The sequence below is a fragment of the Homo sapiens genome, chromosome 19 (genome assembly GCF_000001405.40).
Source record: "Homo sapiens chromosome 19, GRCh38.p14 Primary Assembly".
In the NCBI taxonomy this organism is placed as follows: Eukaryota; Metazoa; Chordata; class Mammalia; order Primates; family Hominidae; genus Homo; species Homo sapiens.
Genome location: NC_000019.10, coordinates 36239776 through 36258923, shown reverse-complemented (window position 1 = coordinate 36258923; position 19148 = coordinate 36239776). Strand labels below are relative to the sequence as shown.

The 19148-nt window shown below is 48.9% G+C and overlaps 1 protein-coding gene across 1 annotated transcript in view, besides 5 other annotated features; it reads left to right on the top strand.

Moving 5' to 3' along the window:
* Positions 511-1129: an enhancer, noted in NCBI's record as "H3K27ac-H3K4me1 hESC enhancer chr19:36748697-36749315 (GRCh37/hg19 assembly coordinates)". NCBI's record gives its function as "activates a minimal SCP1, AML or CMV promoter by ChIP-STARR-seq in naive H9 embryonic stem cells {active_cell/tissue: H9 hESC(naive)}" and the evidence as "EXISTENCE:reporter gene assay evidence [ECO:0000049][PMID:30033119]".
* Positions 11204-12192: an enhancer, noted in NCBI's record as "OCT4-NANOG-H3K27ac hESC enhancer chr19:36737634-36738622 (GRCh37/hg19 assembly coordinates)". NCBI's record gives its function as "activates a minimal SCP1, AML or CMV promoter by ChIP-STARR-seq in primed H9 embryonic stem cells {active_cell/tissue: H9 hESC(primed)}" and the evidence as "EXISTENCE:reporter gene assay evidence [ECO:0000049][PMID:30033119]".
* Positions 12926-13149: a silencer, noted in NCBI's record as "fragment chr19:36736677-36736900 (GRCh37/hg19 assembly coordinates)". NCBI's record gives its function as "represses an EF-1alpha promoter that drives an FKBP-Casp9 reporter gene in an ReSE screen in K562 erythroleukemia cells {active_cell/tissue: K562}" and the evidence as "EXISTENCE:reporter gene assay evidence [ECO:0000049][PMID:32094911]".
* Positions 12996-19148, top strand: part of ZNF565 (zinc finger protein 565) — a 63869-nt gene continuing 57716 nt past the window's right edge. Inside the window, exon 1 of the mRNA NM_001366188.1 lies at positions 12996-13448. The gene's annotated coding sequence lies outside the window, so the exon portion shown is untranslated. The remainder of the gene's footprint in view (positions 13449-19148) is intronic.
* Positions 13181-14169: an enhancer, noted in NCBI's record as "H3K27ac-H3K4me1 hESC enhancer chr19:36735657-36736645 (GRCh37/hg19 assembly coordinates)". NCBI's record gives its function as "activates a minimal SCP1, AML or CMV promoter by ChIP-STARR-seq in naive H9 embryonic stem cells {active_cell/tissue: H9 hESC(naive)}" and the evidence as "EXISTENCE:reporter gene assay evidence [ECO:0000049][PMID:30033119]".
* Positions 17840-18040: a silencer, noted in NCBI's record as "peak3459 fragment used in MPRA reporter construct". NCBI's record gives its function as "represses an SCP1 promoter by STARR-seq MPRAs in K562 erythroleukemia cells {active_cell/tissue: K562}" and the evidence as "EXISTENCE:reporter gene assay evidence [ECO:0000049][PMID:32103011]".

Here is a 19148-nt window from a genome sequence, read left to right as displayed (position 1 = left end):
AGAGGTTTGGGGAAGGAAACAGTCATGACACCGACCCCCAGGAACTTTCTCCCGGATGGACTGGGAAGAGTTCTGGGTTGAAGACATTGAGCCAGACTAAGAAGCCCCTAGGCTTCTCAGAAACAGGGCAGGCAGAGCAAGAGGGAGGACAGAGCAGAGGCCAGAGACCAGCAGGATTGGCGGCAATGCCACCACCACGGCCATCTGGGGAGGAGTGCCAAACGGGTGACTTGGCCAAGATGGCCAGCGTTTGAGCCACAGAGATGCTTGCCCCATCCCGTTGCCGGCTTCCTTCTCCGTCCCTGTGTCGAGCTGTGGCTACATTTCTCAAGGAGGGCAAAGGGCAAGAGGAGTGAGAAGCGTCTTCTTCAAGATCTGTGGGCACCCTCCTGCGGGTGGACAATGAGCCCCTCTGAGGACTTTGTCCTTGGCTGGGGTGTGGTCGTCTTGATCCCAGCAAAGAGGCTGCTCAGGATAGGGAGGGGATGAAAATCCCTGCGGGTCCGACGCAGGTGCCCATGTTGCCCAGGCCTTCACAAACCCAAACTGGAACCGCCGGGAAAACGTCTGCCAACGGGCCACACAACCCAGGTAGAGACCCGGGGAGAGGCTGACCACAGGAAAGGCTGACGTGGGAGAAACCACCCTCTGGTGCAAAGGGCACCTGTGTCCCAGCAAACACGCAGGCACAGATGGACAGAGATAGTAAAAGAGAGCGATGGAAAGAGCGAGAAGGGAGAGAGAGAGATATCAGAGAGAGACATAAGTGGGCACACAGACACACACAGACACACACACACACACCCCAAACGCAGACACACATACAGCAGGTAACACCCAGCCCCAGGCAGCCCCTGAAGCTGCTGGGTTCTGCTCTCCGCGACTACGACCCACCGGTGAGAGAGCAGCCCACGGGCACACGGGCAGACCTGTCCTCGACATCACAAGGGCACCACTTTTGGGGAGACTCACGGGCACACCGTCCGCACACACCTGAGGCTGGGATCCCGCGCTGCCTCCCCGGCGATCCGTCTGAGGTTTCTTCCTCCTGAGGCTTCTCCCTGCTGGTCGACCCTCCGCGAATCCCGGCCTCCGAGACCATCCTGTTAATGCCCTGGCCAGGACTGATCTCAGCCCCGACTCTGACGCTCGGTCACAGAGGGTTCCTACTTGGCCCAGTCTCAGGGACTCACCCCGGGGCAACGGTGGTGATCCCTGTGACCAAAGCGGCGGCTCCGGCCTCGCGCATGCGCACTGGAGAGGCCGACTCGCCCCTCGCCCCAGAGAGTCAGGCTGCGGACCCTTTAAAAAATGGCGGCGACGCGGCAGGTTGCGGGGACCGGGGCGGCGGTGGCGGCGCTTGCGGCGGCGAAGGCAGCGCAGCCCGAGGCGGCGGGTGGGAAGAGGATTGCCAGAGGGGCCTGCGGGAGACCCAGGGTCGGACCCGTAGGGGTCCTGCCGTCAGGACCTCCTTGATCGGTCTTCTGCTTCGTTCCCAGTGGAGGAGGAGCTTCAGGGTGCCGGCTGGGCTGTGCAGACTCCTCTTCGGCTCCGAGGATGGATCCCACCGGGTGATCGAGAATGGGGTTGCAATGCAGTGAGGCGGGAAGGGTCTCGCTGGGGCACAGAAAGATCCCCAGAGCCCCAAGGCGTGCTGTCGGCGGAAAATGAACTGACACACGAGCCCACTGCCTCCCTCCTTCCTGGGTGGAGCAGTGGCCTGCCTTCATCTCCAAGGCCCGGGGGCTCCGGCATACCGACACTGCTTCCCGCGACACGTGCAAAGACAGACATAGGCGAGTCCGAGATGGAGCCAGTGTGACCACACGTGGCACCGACGTCCCCAAAAGCAGATGGAGTGAGCAGGTGTCTTTGAGGCCGTAGGGGGCGATGGCGAGACGGACAGTGGTGTCCAGCCGTGCGCCCGGGGGCCACGGGAGACCTCCGCAACAAAGCTGAGGAAAAGCCAAGCGCACCTGAAAACCTGCGAGACAGGGCCTGCGCCCGAATCCAAGCCACATTCAGAGATGCCTGCCAGAGGGGCCGAGAGCTTTCCACAAACTACACCCCACCCCCACCCCGCGACCGGGTAGGTACCCCCGACGCGACCTCCCCTGCACCCAGCAAAACCCAGTCCCTTTGGCTCCCTGACATCCGTGGCAGCCAGAAGATTCAGTGCTAGAAGTCTCTTTCCCCAGGAGCAGAGGAACCCGATGGCCCTCAAGAATCAGAGAGGAAGTGCAGGTGGCATGCCACACCGCCTTTCCTAGAAGGCAAATGTCAGGAACGGTCGGGTTGCCTCCCGCTCTTCCTGGACCGACCACGGGGCCACAGAGACCCAGAAAGCTTCCCTGTCCCAGACAGCTATGAAAGCCCAGAGCTCCAGGATCACCACACCTGCCCAATCATGCTGAAAGAGGTTTGGAGAAGGAAACAATCATGACACCGACCCCCAGGAACTTTCTCCCGGATGGACTGGGAAGTCTTCTGGGTTGAAGACATTGAGCCAGACTAACAAGCCCCTAGGCCTCTCAGAAACAGGGCAGACAGAGCAAGAGGGAGGACAGAGCAGAGGCCAGAGCCCAGGCAGGATTGGCGGCAATGCCACCACCACGGCCATCCGGGGAGGAGTGCCAAACGGGTGACTTGGCCACGAAGGCCAGCGTTGGAGCCACAGAGATGTTTGCCCCATCCCGTTGCCGGCTTCCTTTTCCGTCCCTGTATCGAGCTGTGGCTAGATTTCTCAGTGAGGGCACACGCGAGAGGATTGAGAGGAGTGAGGTCGATGGGCACCTCGACCTGCATAAGCAGGTTTATGATGAGCTTTTGTGAGAATTTTTTCCTTTGCTGGGGTGTAGTTGTCTTGATTCTAGCAATGAGGCCGCTCATGATTGGGAGCTGATTTAATCCCCGCCGTGTCTCATGTAGCTCCCCACGTTGCCCACCGGTCACGAACCCAAACTGTAACCGCCTGGAAAACGAATGACACCCGGCCACATGACCCAGACAGAGATGCGAGGAGAGACTCACCAGAAGAAAGGCCAAGGTACAAGAAACCGCCCTTCATTGCCCATGCATCCCAACACACGCACGCACCCGCGCACACACGGACGGAAACTGGTAGAGAGTGATAGACGGAGAATGAAAACAGAAATAAGAGAAAGAGACACAACCCAGACATACTGCAGTGGCACAGTAACATTCATCTCCAGGCAGCCCCTGAAGCCTCTGGGTTCTGCTCTGAGCGACAACGACCCTGGGGTGAGAGAGCAGCCCTTGGGCATACAAGCAGACCTGTCCTGGAGATCGCAAGGGCACGACTTTTGGGGAGACTCACCGGCACACCGTCCACGCAGGCCTGAGCCTGGGATACTGCGCTGCTTCCCAGACGCTCCGCCTGAGGTTTCTTCCTCCTGGTCGAACCTCCGCGAATCCTGGCCTCCGGATACCATCCCGTCGACGCCCCAGTGAGGACTAGACTTAGCCCCGAGCCGATGCGCTGCTACAGAAGGCTCCTCCTTCGCAGAGAGTGAAGAACTCATCTCCAGGCAACGGTGGCGGTCTCTGTGACGTGAGCATCCGCTCGCGATTTGTGTATGCGCCTTGCCAAGGCTGACTGCGCTCTGCTCTGGATCAGGCTGCAGCCCCTGAAAAAAATTGCTGGGGCTGTGTGTGTGAATGGGAGTGTGCATGTATGTCTTTGGACAAACGTCCCCTGTTCTCTGGAGGGCAGTTTCTTGCATGTTGGCCTTTTTGGTGAGCCTCTTTCTCGGTCTCTGCCTGGGTCGTGTAGCCGGTCCTGTGACTGGAACGGGCAGTCATTTTCCTGGCAGTTGCACTTTTGGTTTCTGAAGGCCTTGGCGAGGTTTGGTGCTGTGTCGGACCCGCAGGCGTTCAAGTCACCTGCCCATTCTGAGTGACCTTTTTTCTAAAATCCTCCACCCAGGAGCAGAGGACCCGGATGTCTCTCAAGAATTAGAAAGGAAGTGCAGATTATTGCTAAGCACATGGTAGCTAACACTGGATAGATGAGATGAACATTGGTTTGCTAATTACCCATACTTTCGCCCCAGGGAAGGAGAGCCCAGCACACCATGTGGGGTACAGTGTGTTGCACTCAGGAACACAGTAATCAGGTGGAGGCTATTCCAGGAGGCTTTGTAGTACCAAGAGTATGGGAGGTAACCCCTGGTTCTTGAAGGAGGGTGTGAATGGCCTGTTTGAATAATTCTGCAGGCTGGCTGGAACCTGACGCCCACTACTACGCAGTAAGCAGGTACTGTGCCTGGCCTCTGAAGGAAGTGCTTGGGCTAGGGCACCTTATTCAAAGGAGTACATTGGGGCAGGGAATTTGCAGTTAATCCATTCAGCCCTCCTTGTTTTCCCCCAGTGTCAGGGCACGTATAACATTGAGCCTTAATCTTAGGCCTTAACCTTGACCCCTTGATGCCTTGACATCTCTTGGCAATACTGAGACTTCTAGAATGTAGAAGTTTTACTGGATGGAAGGTCTTGACTGCAAGTTGTCCATGTTTCTGGCTCACTGAAGAAAGAATTAAACAAACTACACGAAGCAACAAAAGATCAAAGCCACGAAAGAAGAAAGAAGCAACGAAACTGCAGATTTATTGAAGCAAAAGTCCACTCTACAGAGCCAGAGTGGGCTAGAGCAAGCGGCTCAGGAGCCCAGATTACAATGTTCTTTAGAGTTATTAAGCTAAAGAATTTGATAACACCCATAAGTGCCTTTTCGAGGTCTTCAATTGGTTACACCCTATGAAGGATTGGCCCGTGGCCAGAGGCTGAACTGGAGACTTCTGTGTTGTCATCACAGGAGTGAGGATGTGGCCTGTGTGCTGCTTAACCTGGCCTAGAACTTGCTGCACCTGCTGTTCTTTTGCTTCCACCTTAACCCTTGGTTATGCTAATTTTCTTTTCCTTTTTGTTTTGAGACGGAGTCTCGCTCTGTCGCCCAGGCTGGAGTGCAGTGGCGGAATCTCAGCTCACTGCAAGCTCCACCTCCTGGGTTCACGCCATTCTCCTGCCTCAGCCTCCTGAGTAGCTGGGACTACAGGCGCCTGCCACCATGCCTGGCTTATTTTTTGTATTTTTAGTTGAGACGGGGTTTTACCCTGTTAGCCAGGATAGTCTGGAACTCCTGACCTCATGATCTGCCTGCCTCGGACTCTGAAAGTGTTGGGATTACAGGCGTGAGCCACTGCGCCTGGCTTGGTTATACTAATTTCCTATTCTCCTGCCTCAGAAGTGCCTCTCTAGGAAGCCAAGCAGGCTCTTACCTGCTTCAGGTGAGCAGGTAACCAGGAGGGAGAGGACCACAGTTGCTATCATGGCTATGATTCGGGTTTGGAAACCTGTGCAGAGCCTTTGGCTCCACTTGGTATGGGATAGCCAAGAGAACAGTTAATGTGGTTTTCGAATCATGATATGTCTTTGAATATTTGTGTAACCTTATGTATTACCATCAGTTTTTATTTGTTAGGTGCAGTTGTTCTTGCTCATATTATTATTATTATTATTTTGAGACAGAGTCTCATTCTGTTGCCAGGCTGGAGTGCAATGCTGCCATATCAGCTCACTGCAACCTCCGACTCTTGCGTTCAAGCGATTCTCCTGACTCAGCCTCCCAAGTAGCTGGGAATACAGGCGTGTACCACCACACCCAGCTAATTTTTGTATTTTTAGTAGAGATGAGGTTTCACCATGTTGGCCAGGATGATCTCTTGACCTCATGATCCACCCACCTCAGCCTTCCAAAGTGCTGGGATTACAGGCGTGAGCCACCGCGCCCAGCCAAAAATTTTTTAAGTAAAATAAAATATGTCAGTATAGGCCAGGTGCAGTGGCTCACATCTGTAATCCCAGCACTTTGGGAGGCTGAGATAGGAGGATCACTTGAGTTCAGGAGTTCAAGACCAGCCTGCACAACACAGCAAGACCCCACCTCTAAAGAAAAAAAAGTGTGTGTGTGTGTGTGTGTGTGTGTGTGTAATATGACATAAACAAGTGTGGGTATATCAGTCATTGTTCACCAGTTACTGATGCTGTATAATACACCACTCCAAACTCAGTAGTATAATACAATGATTTTACTGTGCTCACTGATTCTGTGGGTTAGGAATTCAGACAGCTCACAGAGCAGATAGTTTGCCCCTGCTCCTGATGTCTGTGGCCTCAACCAGGAGGATTCAAAGGCTGGGAATAACCTGATACCTGAGGGCTGCAAACCTATGAAGCCTGCTTTGCACACATGTCTGGTACCTGGGGTGGGAGGACTCAAAGACTTGGACTAGTAGCCTCCCCATGTGACTTGGCTTCCTCATAGCATGGCGGCTCAGAGCACTTGGACCTTCTTAGATAATGGCTCAAGATTTCAAACACTGGAGTTTCAGCTAATGAGGTGAAGGCCACAGTGCCTCTTAAACTGAGCCCTGGGAGTCACACAGCATTGGTTATAAACAATAAACCAATCCAGATTCAAAGGCAGAGGAGTTAGACTCCACCTCTTAAAGTGGGAATGGCAAGATTCTAGAATAACATATGGAACAAGCCTATTATTGCAACCATCTTTGGAAAATACAATCTGCTGCAATCACCTTTGGAAACTAGGAAACCAATGCAGTATTCTGAAATTCGTAATTCTGAAAACTAATGAATATGAATGGAAAGAATCAAGCATTTATCCTCCCTTTCCTACACATGCTATCCCTCTGAGTAATCAGATTGTTGATGTGGGCAGATTTTATTTTTATAAAAGGATTCTAGTAATGGAAATTCCAGTAATGGAAATAAAAGGATTCCAGTAATGGCTGAAAGAGAGACACAATAAGAAAGTGATCAGTTTGCAACTCCTAACAACATAATGAATCTAGGCATTGATCATCAGTGAATGCATGACATTATGCAAAAGGCAATCACTTTACAATGGATAAATCACATTGATGACACTTAAGCCCACTAACAAATCTGATCACAAAATAGTGACAAGCAGATCTTGCCAAAATAACTGAACTTGAATTTGATCAAGTCTCTAGAGCACAGTTTCTCAACTCTGACACTATTTTCACTTTGGACCAGATAATTCTTTGGGATGGGAGGAGGCTGTCCTGTACAGTATAGGATGTTTAGCAGCACCCTGGCCTCTAGCCAATAGGTGCCAGCAATACCATCCTTCCTTCCAGTTGTGACAACCAAAAATATCTCCAAACATTGCCAAATGTCTTCTAGAGAAAACAAACAAGCAAACAAAGAAACAAAAAACACAACTGGTTGAGAACCACTGCTCTAGTTAATTACCAGATATTTTAGAGAAAATACAGAGCATCTAATTTGTTAATCAGTACCATGGGGGTGTACTCAAAGGCAGTATGTGGAAACTCTATATGATCTAGTGTTTGATTTCTCCAAAACATAAATAGCAAGAAAAAAGGGAAGTCAATAGATTAAAAGATATATAAGAGACAGCTGGGTGTGGTGGCTCATGCCCGTAATCCCAACACTTTGGAGGCTGAGGCAGACAGATCATCTGTGGTCAGAAGTTCAAGACCAGCCTGGCCAACATGATGAAACCCCGTCTCTTCAAAAATACAAAACTTTGAGAGGCCAAGATTGGCAAATCACTTGAGGTCAGGAGTTGAGACCAGCCTGGCTAACAAGGTGAAACCCTGCCTCTACTGAATATACAAAAAATAGCTGGGCATGATAGTGCATGCCTGTAGTCCCAGCTACTTGAAAGGCCGAGACAAGAGAATCGCTTAAACCCAGGAGAAAGAGGTTGCAGTGAGCCGATATCGCGCCACTGCACTCCAGCCTGGGTGACAGAACAAGACTCTGTCTCAAAAACAAAAACAAAAAAAATACAAAAATACAAAAATTAGTCAGGCCTGGTGGCATACACCTGTAATCCCAGCTACTCGGGAGGCTGAGGGGGAAGAATTGCTTGAATCCGGGAGGTGAAGGTTGCAATGAGCCCAGATCGTGTCATTGCACTCCAGCCTGGGCAACAGAGAGAGACTCTGTCTCAAAAAAAAAAAAAAAAAAAAAAAAAAAAAAAGATATATAAGAGCTTTATCCTCTAAGCTCAACGTGTAGATCTTGTTTAAACTCTAAACTAATTCTAATTTGAACAAATCAACTGCAACTGATTATGTAATTTTAAGAAATTGGTCTTTTTTCTTTTTTTTCTTTTTTCTTTTTCTTTTTTTTTTTTTTTTTTTTTGAGACAGGGATCTTGCTCTGTCACCCAGGCTGAAATGTAGTGGTGAAATCATGGCTCACTGCAGCCTCAAATTCCCAGGTTCAGGTGATGCTCTCACCTCAGCCTCCCAAGTAGCTGGGACTACAGGTGCGCACCACCATGCCAGGCTAATTTTTTGTATTTTTTTGTAGAGACGAGGTTTTGCCATGTTGCTCATGCTGGTCTCTAACTCTTGGACTCAAGTGATCCTCCTGCTTTGGCCTCCCAAAGTGCTGGAATTACAGGCATGAGCCATGGCACCTGGCCAGGAATTGTTCATTTTCTTAAGATGATGATACGAAAATTGTCTTTTAAGAAAAGTTCTTAAAAGAACTATATTTCATACTGAAATATTTATAGATGAAATGCCTGGAATTTTCTTTAAAATAATCAAGTGGAAATAGAGATGAAGCAAAACTCGCCATGTGTTAATTGTCAAAGGTGGATTCACTGTACTAGGCTCTCTGCATATATAATGTTGAAAGTATCCATAATAAAAAGCTTGAATTAAAAAAAAATTACGTCCTTCCAAGTACTACTCAAATCAGCAAATCAGTAAGCACTAATTTGGAAGGACATCCATAAGGTCTTCCCTAGAAACACAAGCTAAAAAAAAAAATTACATATAATTCTAGTAAAGGCAAAAGGGAATAAAAGTCACTCAATATATGTATGTGCATGTTTGAGCAAGGAGAGAGGTAAAGGAAACTTACTAGACTTTTAAAATGGATAACCTTGGGGAGCTGGGAATATAAAATAAAAAGAAATACACATATATTGGTCTCTGTCCCTAGCTCCTGGTCTAGAGCTCCTTAAAACCCTTGGGTACTAGGAGGATCATTTGTTCTAATATCTGGTCTTTGACCCTAGTTCCTGACACAGAGTTCTCAAATCCCTTGGGATTTCCTGGCTGATAGGAGCATAGTATGTTCTAATGAGGTGACTTCTTGGTGGGCTCCTGGATGGCCTCAGAATGTGATATGAGGGTTGGAACTTTCAGCCCCACCCCTTGACCTCTGGGGAGGGGACAGCAGCTGAAGGTTGAGTTGACTGACAATGGCCAATGATGTTATCAATCATGCCTATGTAATGAAGCCTCCATGAAAACCCAAAAGGATTGGGTTCAGAGAGCTTCCAGATTGCTGAACACGTGGGGATTCCTGGAGGATGATGTGCTGGGGTGAGGGCATTGAAGCCCAATGCCACTTCCCACATATGTTGCCCTAGGTACCTCTTCATCGAAAACCTTTGTAATATCCTTTTTATTTATTTTCATTTTTTTATTTTTTGAGACACACTCTCTCTCTGTTGTCTGGGTTGGAGTGCAGTGGCACGATCTCGGCTCACTGCAACCTCTGCCTCCCGGGTTCAAGCGATTCTCCTGCCTCAGCCTCCTGAGTACCTGGGAATACAGGCGCCCACCACCATGCCCGGCTAACTTTTGCATTTTTAGTAGAGAGCAGGCTGGTCTCAAACTCCTCACCTCAGGTGATCCACCCACCTCAGCCTCCCAAAGTGCTGGGATTACAGGCGTGAGTCACTGCGTCCGGCCCTTTTTATTAAAATAAATAAATAAATAAAATTTTTTTTGAGACAGGGTCTCGCTCTGTTGCCCAGGCTGGAGTGCAATGGTGAGATCTGGGCTGACCACAACCTCAACCTCCTAGGCTCAATCCTCCCACCTTGGTCTCCCTAGTACTAGGACTACAGGCGTGCACCACCACACCAAGCTAAGTTTTGTATTTTAATAAAGACAGGGTTTTGCTATGTTGCCGAGGCTGGTCTCAAACTCCTGGGCTCAAGTGATCTGCCCACCTCAGCCTCCGAAAGTGCTGGGATTACAGACGGGCAACACCATGCCCAGCTGTAATATCCTTTATACTAAATGGACTAATGTTAAGTAAATGGTTTCCCTGAGATCTGTGAGCCATCCTAGAAGATTAATCACACCTGAGGAGAGGATGTGGAAACCCCAAATTTATAGCTGGTCAGAAGTACAGGTCACCACCTGGCTCTTGAGATGGACATCTGAAGTGGAAGGATCTTGTGGGACTGGTCCCTTAGCCTGTGGGATCTGACGCTATCTCCAGGTAGGTGGTGTCAGAACTGAACTGAACTGTAGTCCTACAGTTGGTGTCTAATGGGGAACTGCTTGGTGTGTGGAGAAAAAACCCACACATCTGGTGTCAGAAATGTTCTTTATTGAGTGTTGAGTGGTGTGAGAGTAGGAGAGACCTCGTCTAGGAAAAGGGAGAATTTTATCTTTGCAAAATGTCACTGTTTGCCCTCATTATTCAAAAAAAAAAAACAACCCTTTAGCATATGCTGCTTTAATTTGGCATCTGTCCATCCCATGAAAGTCATTAACATCGCCCACACCACACTTGCCTGGACAGCCAGGTCCTGTCTCCCAAGACTCTGCACTCTACTCTCCTTTATCCCTAATCAGTCATGTCCCACCTCTTCCTCCTCAAGGTAGACACAAAACATCTTCTATATCCTTATCCCCAGCTTTCAACCAACTATCTTATTACACCCTGGAAATGTCTACATTGCGGAAATTATAGCCATGTTGTTTTCGCTCATAAACTGTAAATTTCTTTTTTCTTTGCTTTATCTTTTTTTTTCAGACTGAGCATCGCCCTGTTACCCAGGCTAAAGTGCAGTGGGAAGATCTCGGCTCACTGCAACCTCTGCCTCCTAGGTTCAAGAGATTCTCCTGCCTCAGCCTCCCAAGTAGCTGGGTGTGGGGAAAAGCAAGAGAGATCAGATTGTTACTGTGTCTGTGTAGAAAGAAGTAGACATAGGAGACTCCATTTTGTTATGTACTAAGAAAAATTCTTCTGCCTTGAGATTCTGTGACCTTACCCCCAACCCTGTGCTCTCTGAAACATGTGCTGTGTCAACTCAGAGTTAAATGGATTAAGGGCGGTGCAAGATGTGCTTTGTTAAACAGATGCTTGAAGGCAGCATGCTCCTTAAGAGTCATCACCACTCCCTAATCTCAAGTACCCAGGGACACAAAAACTGTGGAAGGCCGCAGGGACCTCTGCCTAGGAAAGCCAGGTATTGTCCAAGGTTTCTCCCCATGTGATAGTCTGAAATATGGCCTCGTGGGAAGGGAAAGACCTGACCGTCCCCCAGCCCGACACCCGTAAAGGGTCTGTGCTGAGGAGGATTAGTAAAAGAGGAAGGAATGCCTCTTGCAGTTGAGACAAGAGGAAGGCATCTGTCTCCTGCCCGTCCCTGGGCAATGGAATGTCTCGGTATAAAACCCGATTGTATGCTCCATCTACTGAGATAGGGAAAAACCGCCTTAGGGCTGGAGGTGGGACCTGCGGGCAGCAATACTGCTTTGTAAAGCATTGAGATGTTTATGTGTATGCATATCTAAAAGCACAGCACTTAATCCTTTACATTGTCTATGATGCAAAGACCTTTGTTCACGTGTTTGTCTGCTGACCCTCTCCCCACAATTGTCTTGTGACCCTGACACATCCCCCTCTTTGAGAAACACCCACAGGTGTGTAGGGGCAACCCACCCCTACACTGGGATAAACTAAACTAAACTAAACTAAACTAAAACTAAACTACTAAACTAAACTAAACTAAACTAAACTAAAACTAAACTACTAAACTAAACTAAACTGCTAAACTAAGGGGTTTGGAGGGCTCCTGGATTATTGAACACGTAAAGGTTCCTGGAGGGTGGTGCAGCCAGAGACGGCATGGAAGCTCTGCACCCCTCCCCCATATCTTGCCCTATGCATCTCTTCCTTCTGGCTGTTAATCTGTATCCTTGTCAATATCCTTTATAATAAATGGGTAAACATAAATAAAGTGTTTCTCAGAGTTCTGTGAACCACTCTAGCAAAATACTCAAACTTGAGGGGTCATGGCAACCTTGATTTATAGCCAGTAGGTCAGAAGCACAGGTCACATCCTGGGACCTGCAATTGGCATCTGAAGCGGGGGCAGTATTTTGGGACTAAGCCCTTAACCGATGGGTTCTGCTGCTATCTCCAGGTACAGTTGGAATTGCACTGAACTGTAGCACACCCAGTTGGTGTCCGCTGAAGAACTGTTTAGTGTGGGAGAAAAAAACTCCACACATTGGTGAGTGGTGTGTGTAAATGTAGAAAGAAAAACACCCTGGTTGCTTCCTACCTTTCACTAAAACTGCTCATGACACACCATCATGCTCTCACTACTTCGGCAATACAGACACTCCCTCTGTAACTATTCACATACAGTCAATAACATAAGCAAGAGTTACACACAGTCAAGAAAAGCCATTCACGTGGTTACAAGTGGCCACACACCTAATGCTGCTGTCACAATCATGCATGCTGCTGTCACAATCATGCACGTCAAACAGCTGGCTAGGGCTAGCGCCACACACACACACACGCACACACGGAGACGTGCGCGCACACCCACTTGTGCAGAGACACGCGCACGCAGACACGTGCGCACAGAGACGCACACAGACACACGTGTGCACACAGGCAAACAGGCACGCGCAGAGACGCACACAGACACGCGTGTGCACCACAGGCAAACAGACACGTGCAGAGACGCACACACAGGCACACGTGTGCACACACAGAGATGCAAACACAGACACACGCGTGCACACACTGACGCGCGCACAGAGAGACACACGCGCGCACACACACGTCTCCCCCGCGCCAGCTCCGGCTCCAGCAGCCTTGGGGTCCCCGCCCAGACCCGGGCTCCTGACTCCCTCAACGACTGCATCTCGCGGGGCGATCCCGGTCGGGTTCCGCCTGAGCCAAGGCCCCGCACCCAAACCGAGACAGCGGATCCAGTAGCCCGAGGCCCGCAGCTGGGCGAAGGAACCGGGACTCAAGAGTAGCCTCCGGCACCGAGCCCTCCAAGAAAAGCAGCCCGGGACCCCGACAACCGTGGACGGAGCCAGGGTGGGTCATAGCTCGAGGCATCGTCAACGGAGGGTCCTTAAGAGACCCTGAACCCATTCACCCGGGCACCAGAGACTCTGCCAAAGCACCAATTCGGGCAGGTGGTAGCCTCGAAGCTGGGAGGCTGCATCTCAAGCCTCCTCCTAGATCCGCGGTGGACCCTGGGAAATGTAGTCCAGAGCAAGCCACCACCTAAATGCGCCGTGGACCCTGGGAAAGGTGGTCCCTCGCAAGTCACCGCCTGGACGCAGGTAACCTCCTAGATGCGCGGTGGACCACGGGAAATGTGATCCGGATTTTCTGGGTGGGCGTCGTAAGCGCGGAGCTTTCCGGGTCGCAGTGACTGTCCTCCCTTCGAGCCCGCCAGATCAGACCCTAGAATGTCCGGCAGCAGCCCCTCGGCTTAGAACTGAGCTGGGGTCATACACGCCCTCTAGGCGCGAGTTGGTGCACGCGTTAGAGTCTCAGGGGAGGGAGAAAACCCTGTAGCTCTAAACCGAGGGAGCTGCCAAAGCGATTCAAAGGAGCCCAGGGGACCCGTAGCAACAGACCCCGACTCTGCGCAAATGCGAATCCATGGCTCTCGCAAGGGCAGCGAGGCTCGCCGGGTCTCAGGCTGTGGATCCCTAAACTCAAAAGAAATAAAACGTCACATGATAAATTAAGAGTTTCCAACAGTTTCTAGCCTAGCCACTGAACAGTAGGGATTCAAGAAAACAAAACACAACAATGAAAATTACCACATAATACGAGAAAAGGTCCCAAAACTGACCGTCAACAAGATACAAGCCTATCGAGTACCAACCACAGTGGATGAAAAAGACACGTTCTAATCTAAGGCGTAGAATTCGACAATTCCTTTTTTTTTTTTTTTTTTAAGACGTAGTCTTGCTCTGTCGCCAGGCTGGAGGGCAGTGGCACGATCTCGGCTCACTGCAACCTCCACCTCCCGGGTTCAAGCGATTCTCCTGCCTCAGCCTCTCGAGTAGCTGGGATTACAGGCGCATGCCACCACACCCGGCTAATTTTTGTATTTTTAGTAGAGACGGGGTTTCACCATGTTTGCCAGGATGGTCTCGATCTCTTGGCCTCGTGATCCACCGGCCTCGGCCTCCCAAAGTGCTGAAATTACAGGCGTGAGCCAGCGTGCCCAGCCTCCTTTTTAAAAAAAAATTAATAAACTTTTTCTTTAGGGTCTTGCTCTGTTGCCCAGGTCGGAGTGCACGATCTTGCTCACTGCAACCTCCACCTTCCAGGTTCAAGCAATTCTCCTACTTCAGTCTCCTGAGTAGCTGGGATGACAGGTACCCACCACCACGCCCAGATAATTTTTGTATTTTTAGTAGAGAAGGGTTTCACCATTTTGACCACACTGGTCTTGAACTTCTGACAACTGATTCGCTCGCCTCGGCCTCCCGGGATTACAGGCGTGAGCCACCGCATCCGGCCTTCTGTCAGAGTTTCAGCTGCCCTCCCAGCGCCCCCAACAGGCACGTTTTCACAAGACCAGACCTAGCTCCACTTTGTGGTGAGGTGGCAAGAATAGAGAGAGAGAAAGAGAGGACACCCCCTGCCCCCAGCCACTCAGACACACAGACATGGGATCCCATGGGTCTTTTTTCTTGGTTTGGTTGACAGCTACGGCAGTGGCAGAGCAGCCTAATGACTGGGGCTGTTCTTGGTGCAAGGCCAGTAGAGAAAAGAAGAAAAACAGAAAAAAGGGAAGGCTGGGTGTGGTGGTTCACACCTGTAATCCCAGCACTTTGGGAGGCCAAGGAGGGTGGATTCCTGGAGTTCAGGAGTTTGAAATCAGCCTGGGCAACAGAGTGAGACCCCTGTCTCTACAAAATTTTAAAAAGTAGCTGGGTGTGGTGGCTCATGCCTCTAGTCCCAGCTACTCAGGAGGCTGAGGTGGGAGAATCACTTGAGCCCAAGGGGTCAAGGCTGCACTGAGCCAAGATCGTGCCACCCCCACCCCCAGCCTGGGTGACATAGCAAGACCCTGTCTCAATTAAAAAAAAGAACCCCTCTCTCACTCTGTCACACCAGGTCCTCTTTTGGACTCCTCTGGCTGGAAGGAAGGCATTTCTCTCATAATTTATGCTCCCTGAACCCATCACACAGCTCTGAGACTTCCCTCCTTCCAAAGCCAAAAGATAAAGGAGGAAAATCCCCCAGCAAACATATGGTCATCGTGTCCATTCTTCTCGTTTTTAACTCCCTTCACATCTGCCTGCTATTACTTGTATTTCTGAATCTTCAGGTGGTTTCTTTTTGTATTCACTCTGGGGTGTTAAATAGAAATCAGTGAGAGAGATGCTGAAATGTGCTTATCCCATCTTGGCCAGTAATGGAAGTCTGCCTTCCCTGAGGATTTGAAATTATCCAGTTTGGGCCTGGCACAGTGGCTCACGCTTGTAATCCCCACACTTTGGAAGGCCGAGGTGGGTGGATCACCTGAAGTCAGGAATTTGAGACCAGCCTGGCCAACAGGACAAAACTCCATCTCTACTAAAAATACAAAAATTAGCCGGGCGTGGTGGAGGGCGCCTGTCATCCCAGCTACTCAAGAGGCTGAGGCAGGAGAGTCACTTCAACCCGGGAGGCACAGGTTGCAGTGAGCTGAGATCACCCCATTATCCTCCAGCCTGGGGGACAAGAGCGAAATTCTGCCTCAAAAACAAACAAACAAAAAGACCAAAACCAAAAACCCAACATTTACTCTCAGATAATCTGAACAGAACACAGTCTTAGAAAATAATACTTAAAATGCACTGGGTGCAATCTAAAATTATTTGAAATACAAAGAACTGGGAAAATGTGATGAATTATCAGGGGAAAAGAAAATCAGCAGATGACCATGTCAAGAAGAAACAGATACTGGACTTACACAATGATTTATGAACATCTTTTCATGTGCTTGCTGGACACCTGTATATCTTTTTTGGAAAAAATGATTCTATTTATTTGTCCATTTTAATTTTCATTTTATTTATTTTTTCGAGACAGAGTCTTGCTCTATCACCCAGGCTGGGGTGCAGTGGCATGATCTTGGCTCACTGCAACCTCCGCCTCCCAGGTTCAAGTGATTCTCCTGCCTCAGCCTCCCAAGTAGCTGGGATGAGAGGCACGTGCCACCATGCCTGGTAATTTTTGTATTCTTAGTAGAGACGGGTTTCACCATGTTGGCCAGGCTGGTCTCGAGCTCTTGATCTCGTGATCCACCCACCTCAGCCCTCTAAAGTGATGGGATTACAGGTGTGAGCCACCGTGCCCAGAAATTTGCCCATTTTTAATAGGTTGTTCTTTATTTTTTTTGAAATGGAGTCTCGCTCTGCCACCCAGGCTGGAGTTCAATAGCTTGATCTCGCCTCACTGCAACCTCCACCTCCCGTGTTCAGTCATTCTCTTGTCTCAGCCTCCCAAGTAGCTGAGACTACAGGCATGCACCATCACATCTGGCTAATTTTTATGTTTAGTAGAGACAAGGTTTCACCATGTTGGCCAGGATGGTCTTGAACTCCTGATCTCAGGTGATCCGCCCGCCTCGGCCTCCCAAAGTGCTGGGATTACAGGCGTGAGCCACCGTGCCTGGCCCAGATAGATGATTTCTAAATATTTTCTCCCATTCTGCATGTTGAACTTCAGTTTCTTGATAGTGTCTGATACACAAAGTTTTAAATGTTTACAAAATCCAATTTATCTACTTTTGTTGTTCCTGCTTATACTTTGGTATTATATTTGGTATTATATTTACAAAATCGTTGCCAAATCTAAGGTCATGAAGATTTACTCCTATGTTCCTATGTTTTCCTCCAAGAGTTTATCTCTTATGTTTAGGTCTTTGGACACTTTTGAGTTAAGTTTTGTATACGGTGTGAAGCAAGAGTCCAAATTCATCTTTGTACCTCAATTGTCCCAGCTTTTTTTTTTTTTTTTTTTTTTGACACTCTTCTTGCCAGGCTGGAGTGCAGTGGCACAATCTCAGCTCACTGCAACCTCCACCTCCTGGGTTCAAGCGATTCTCCTAGCTCAGCCTCCCAAAGTACTGGGATGATAGGTGTCCACTACCACGCCCAGCTAATTTTTTGTATTTTTAGTAGACAGGGTTTCACCATGTTGGCCAGGCTGATCTTGAACTCCTGACCTCAGGTGATCCACCCGCCTCCGCTTCACAAAGTGCTGGGATTACAGGCGTGAGCCACTGCGCACGGCCCCAACACTTTTTTTTTTTTTTTTTTTAATACAGAGTCTTGCTCTTGTCACCCAGGCCGGAGTTCAACGGCACGATCTCGGCTCACTGCAACCTCTGCCTCCTGGGTTCAAGCGATTCTCCTGCCTTAACCTCCCAAGTAGCTGGGATTACTGGCCCCCGCTACCACATCTGGCTAATTTTTGTATTTTTAGTAGAGGCGGGGTTTTGCCATGCTGGCCAGGCTGGTCTCGAACTCCTGACCTTGTGATCCGCCCGCCTTGGCCTCCCAAAGTGCTGGGATTACAGGCGTGAGCCACTGCCCCCGACATCATTTTTTAAGGGAATTATTCTTTCCTCCATTAAATAAGTTTGGCATTCTAGTTGAAAATCAGTTGCCCACAGTGTATCAATTGATTTGTGTTGGTATAACAGAATACCTGAGTCTGGTTAACGTATAAGGAACAAGAACATATTGGTACACAGTTCTGGAGGCTGGGAAGTCCACAACTGAGAGACTGACATCTGGCAAGGGCCTTCTTGTTATGTCATCCCATGGAGGAAAGACAAGAGACAGCAAGTGGGGACAAAACTTGCCCTTTTATCATGACACCAATCCTACTCATGAAAGTGGAGACTTCATGGACATCTTTTTTTTTTTTTTTGAGATAGAGTCTCATTCTGTCTCCCAGGCTGGAGTGCAGTAGCACGATCCTGGCTCACTGCAAACCTCTGCCTCCTGGGTTGGAGCAATTCTCCTGCCTCAGCCTCCCAAGTAGCTGGGATTACAGGTGTGTGCCACTACACCCGGCTAATTTTTGTAATTTTAGTAGAGACGGGGTTTTGCCATGTTGGCCAGGCTGGTATTGAACTCGTGACCTCAGGTGATCCACCCGCCTCGGCCTCCCAGAGTGCTGAGATTACAGGTGTGAGCCACCACGACCAGCCCCTTCATGGCCATTTTAAGGGTCTCAACCTTTCATGCCATTACCATGGCAATTAAATTTCAACATTGAGTTTTGGGTGGGACATTCAACCCATAGCATTTGTGGACTCTCAATTCTCTTCCCACTGATCTGTCTCCATCCCTGTGTTTTTCCTCCTGGTTTTGTTTGTTTTCGACAGGGTCTCTGTCACCCAGGCTGCAATATAGTGGTGCAATCACGGCTGACTGCAGCCTCAAACTCCTGGGCTCAAGCAATCCTCCCAGCTCACCCTCCCAAGTGGCTGGGACTACAGATGTGTGGCACATGCCTAGCTAGAATCATCTCTAGATTAGTCATAATACCTAATACAATGTAAATGCTATCCAAATAGTTGTATATTAACATTTGTATTTTTAAAATTGTTGTATATTTTAAACACTTTCCATCCAGGGTTCGTTGATAAATGGATGCAGAGCCCATGGATACAGAGGGCCAACTGTATCATAAAGACAACACCTTTAAATGTGAAATATATGTGCAAACAGGGAAAACAGAGAAAAAGATGGGGTACATCATAATATAAAGGGCAGATTCATTTAGACATTTAAGTATCTAATTCCTCCAAAAAGGCTAAAAGATACAGTGATGCAGTGCCATTTAATGAGTTTTTTAAGGTTTCAAAATCAAGCTCAAATGCTGTATATTATTGACATTCACCATTATTCAAGAAAACCTTTAATAATATTCTTTATATTATAATGTGATCAAAGAATAAAAAAATTTTCATGAAGGGCTGGTTTACAAAATAGAACTCTGTCTAGGGTCTGAGCCAT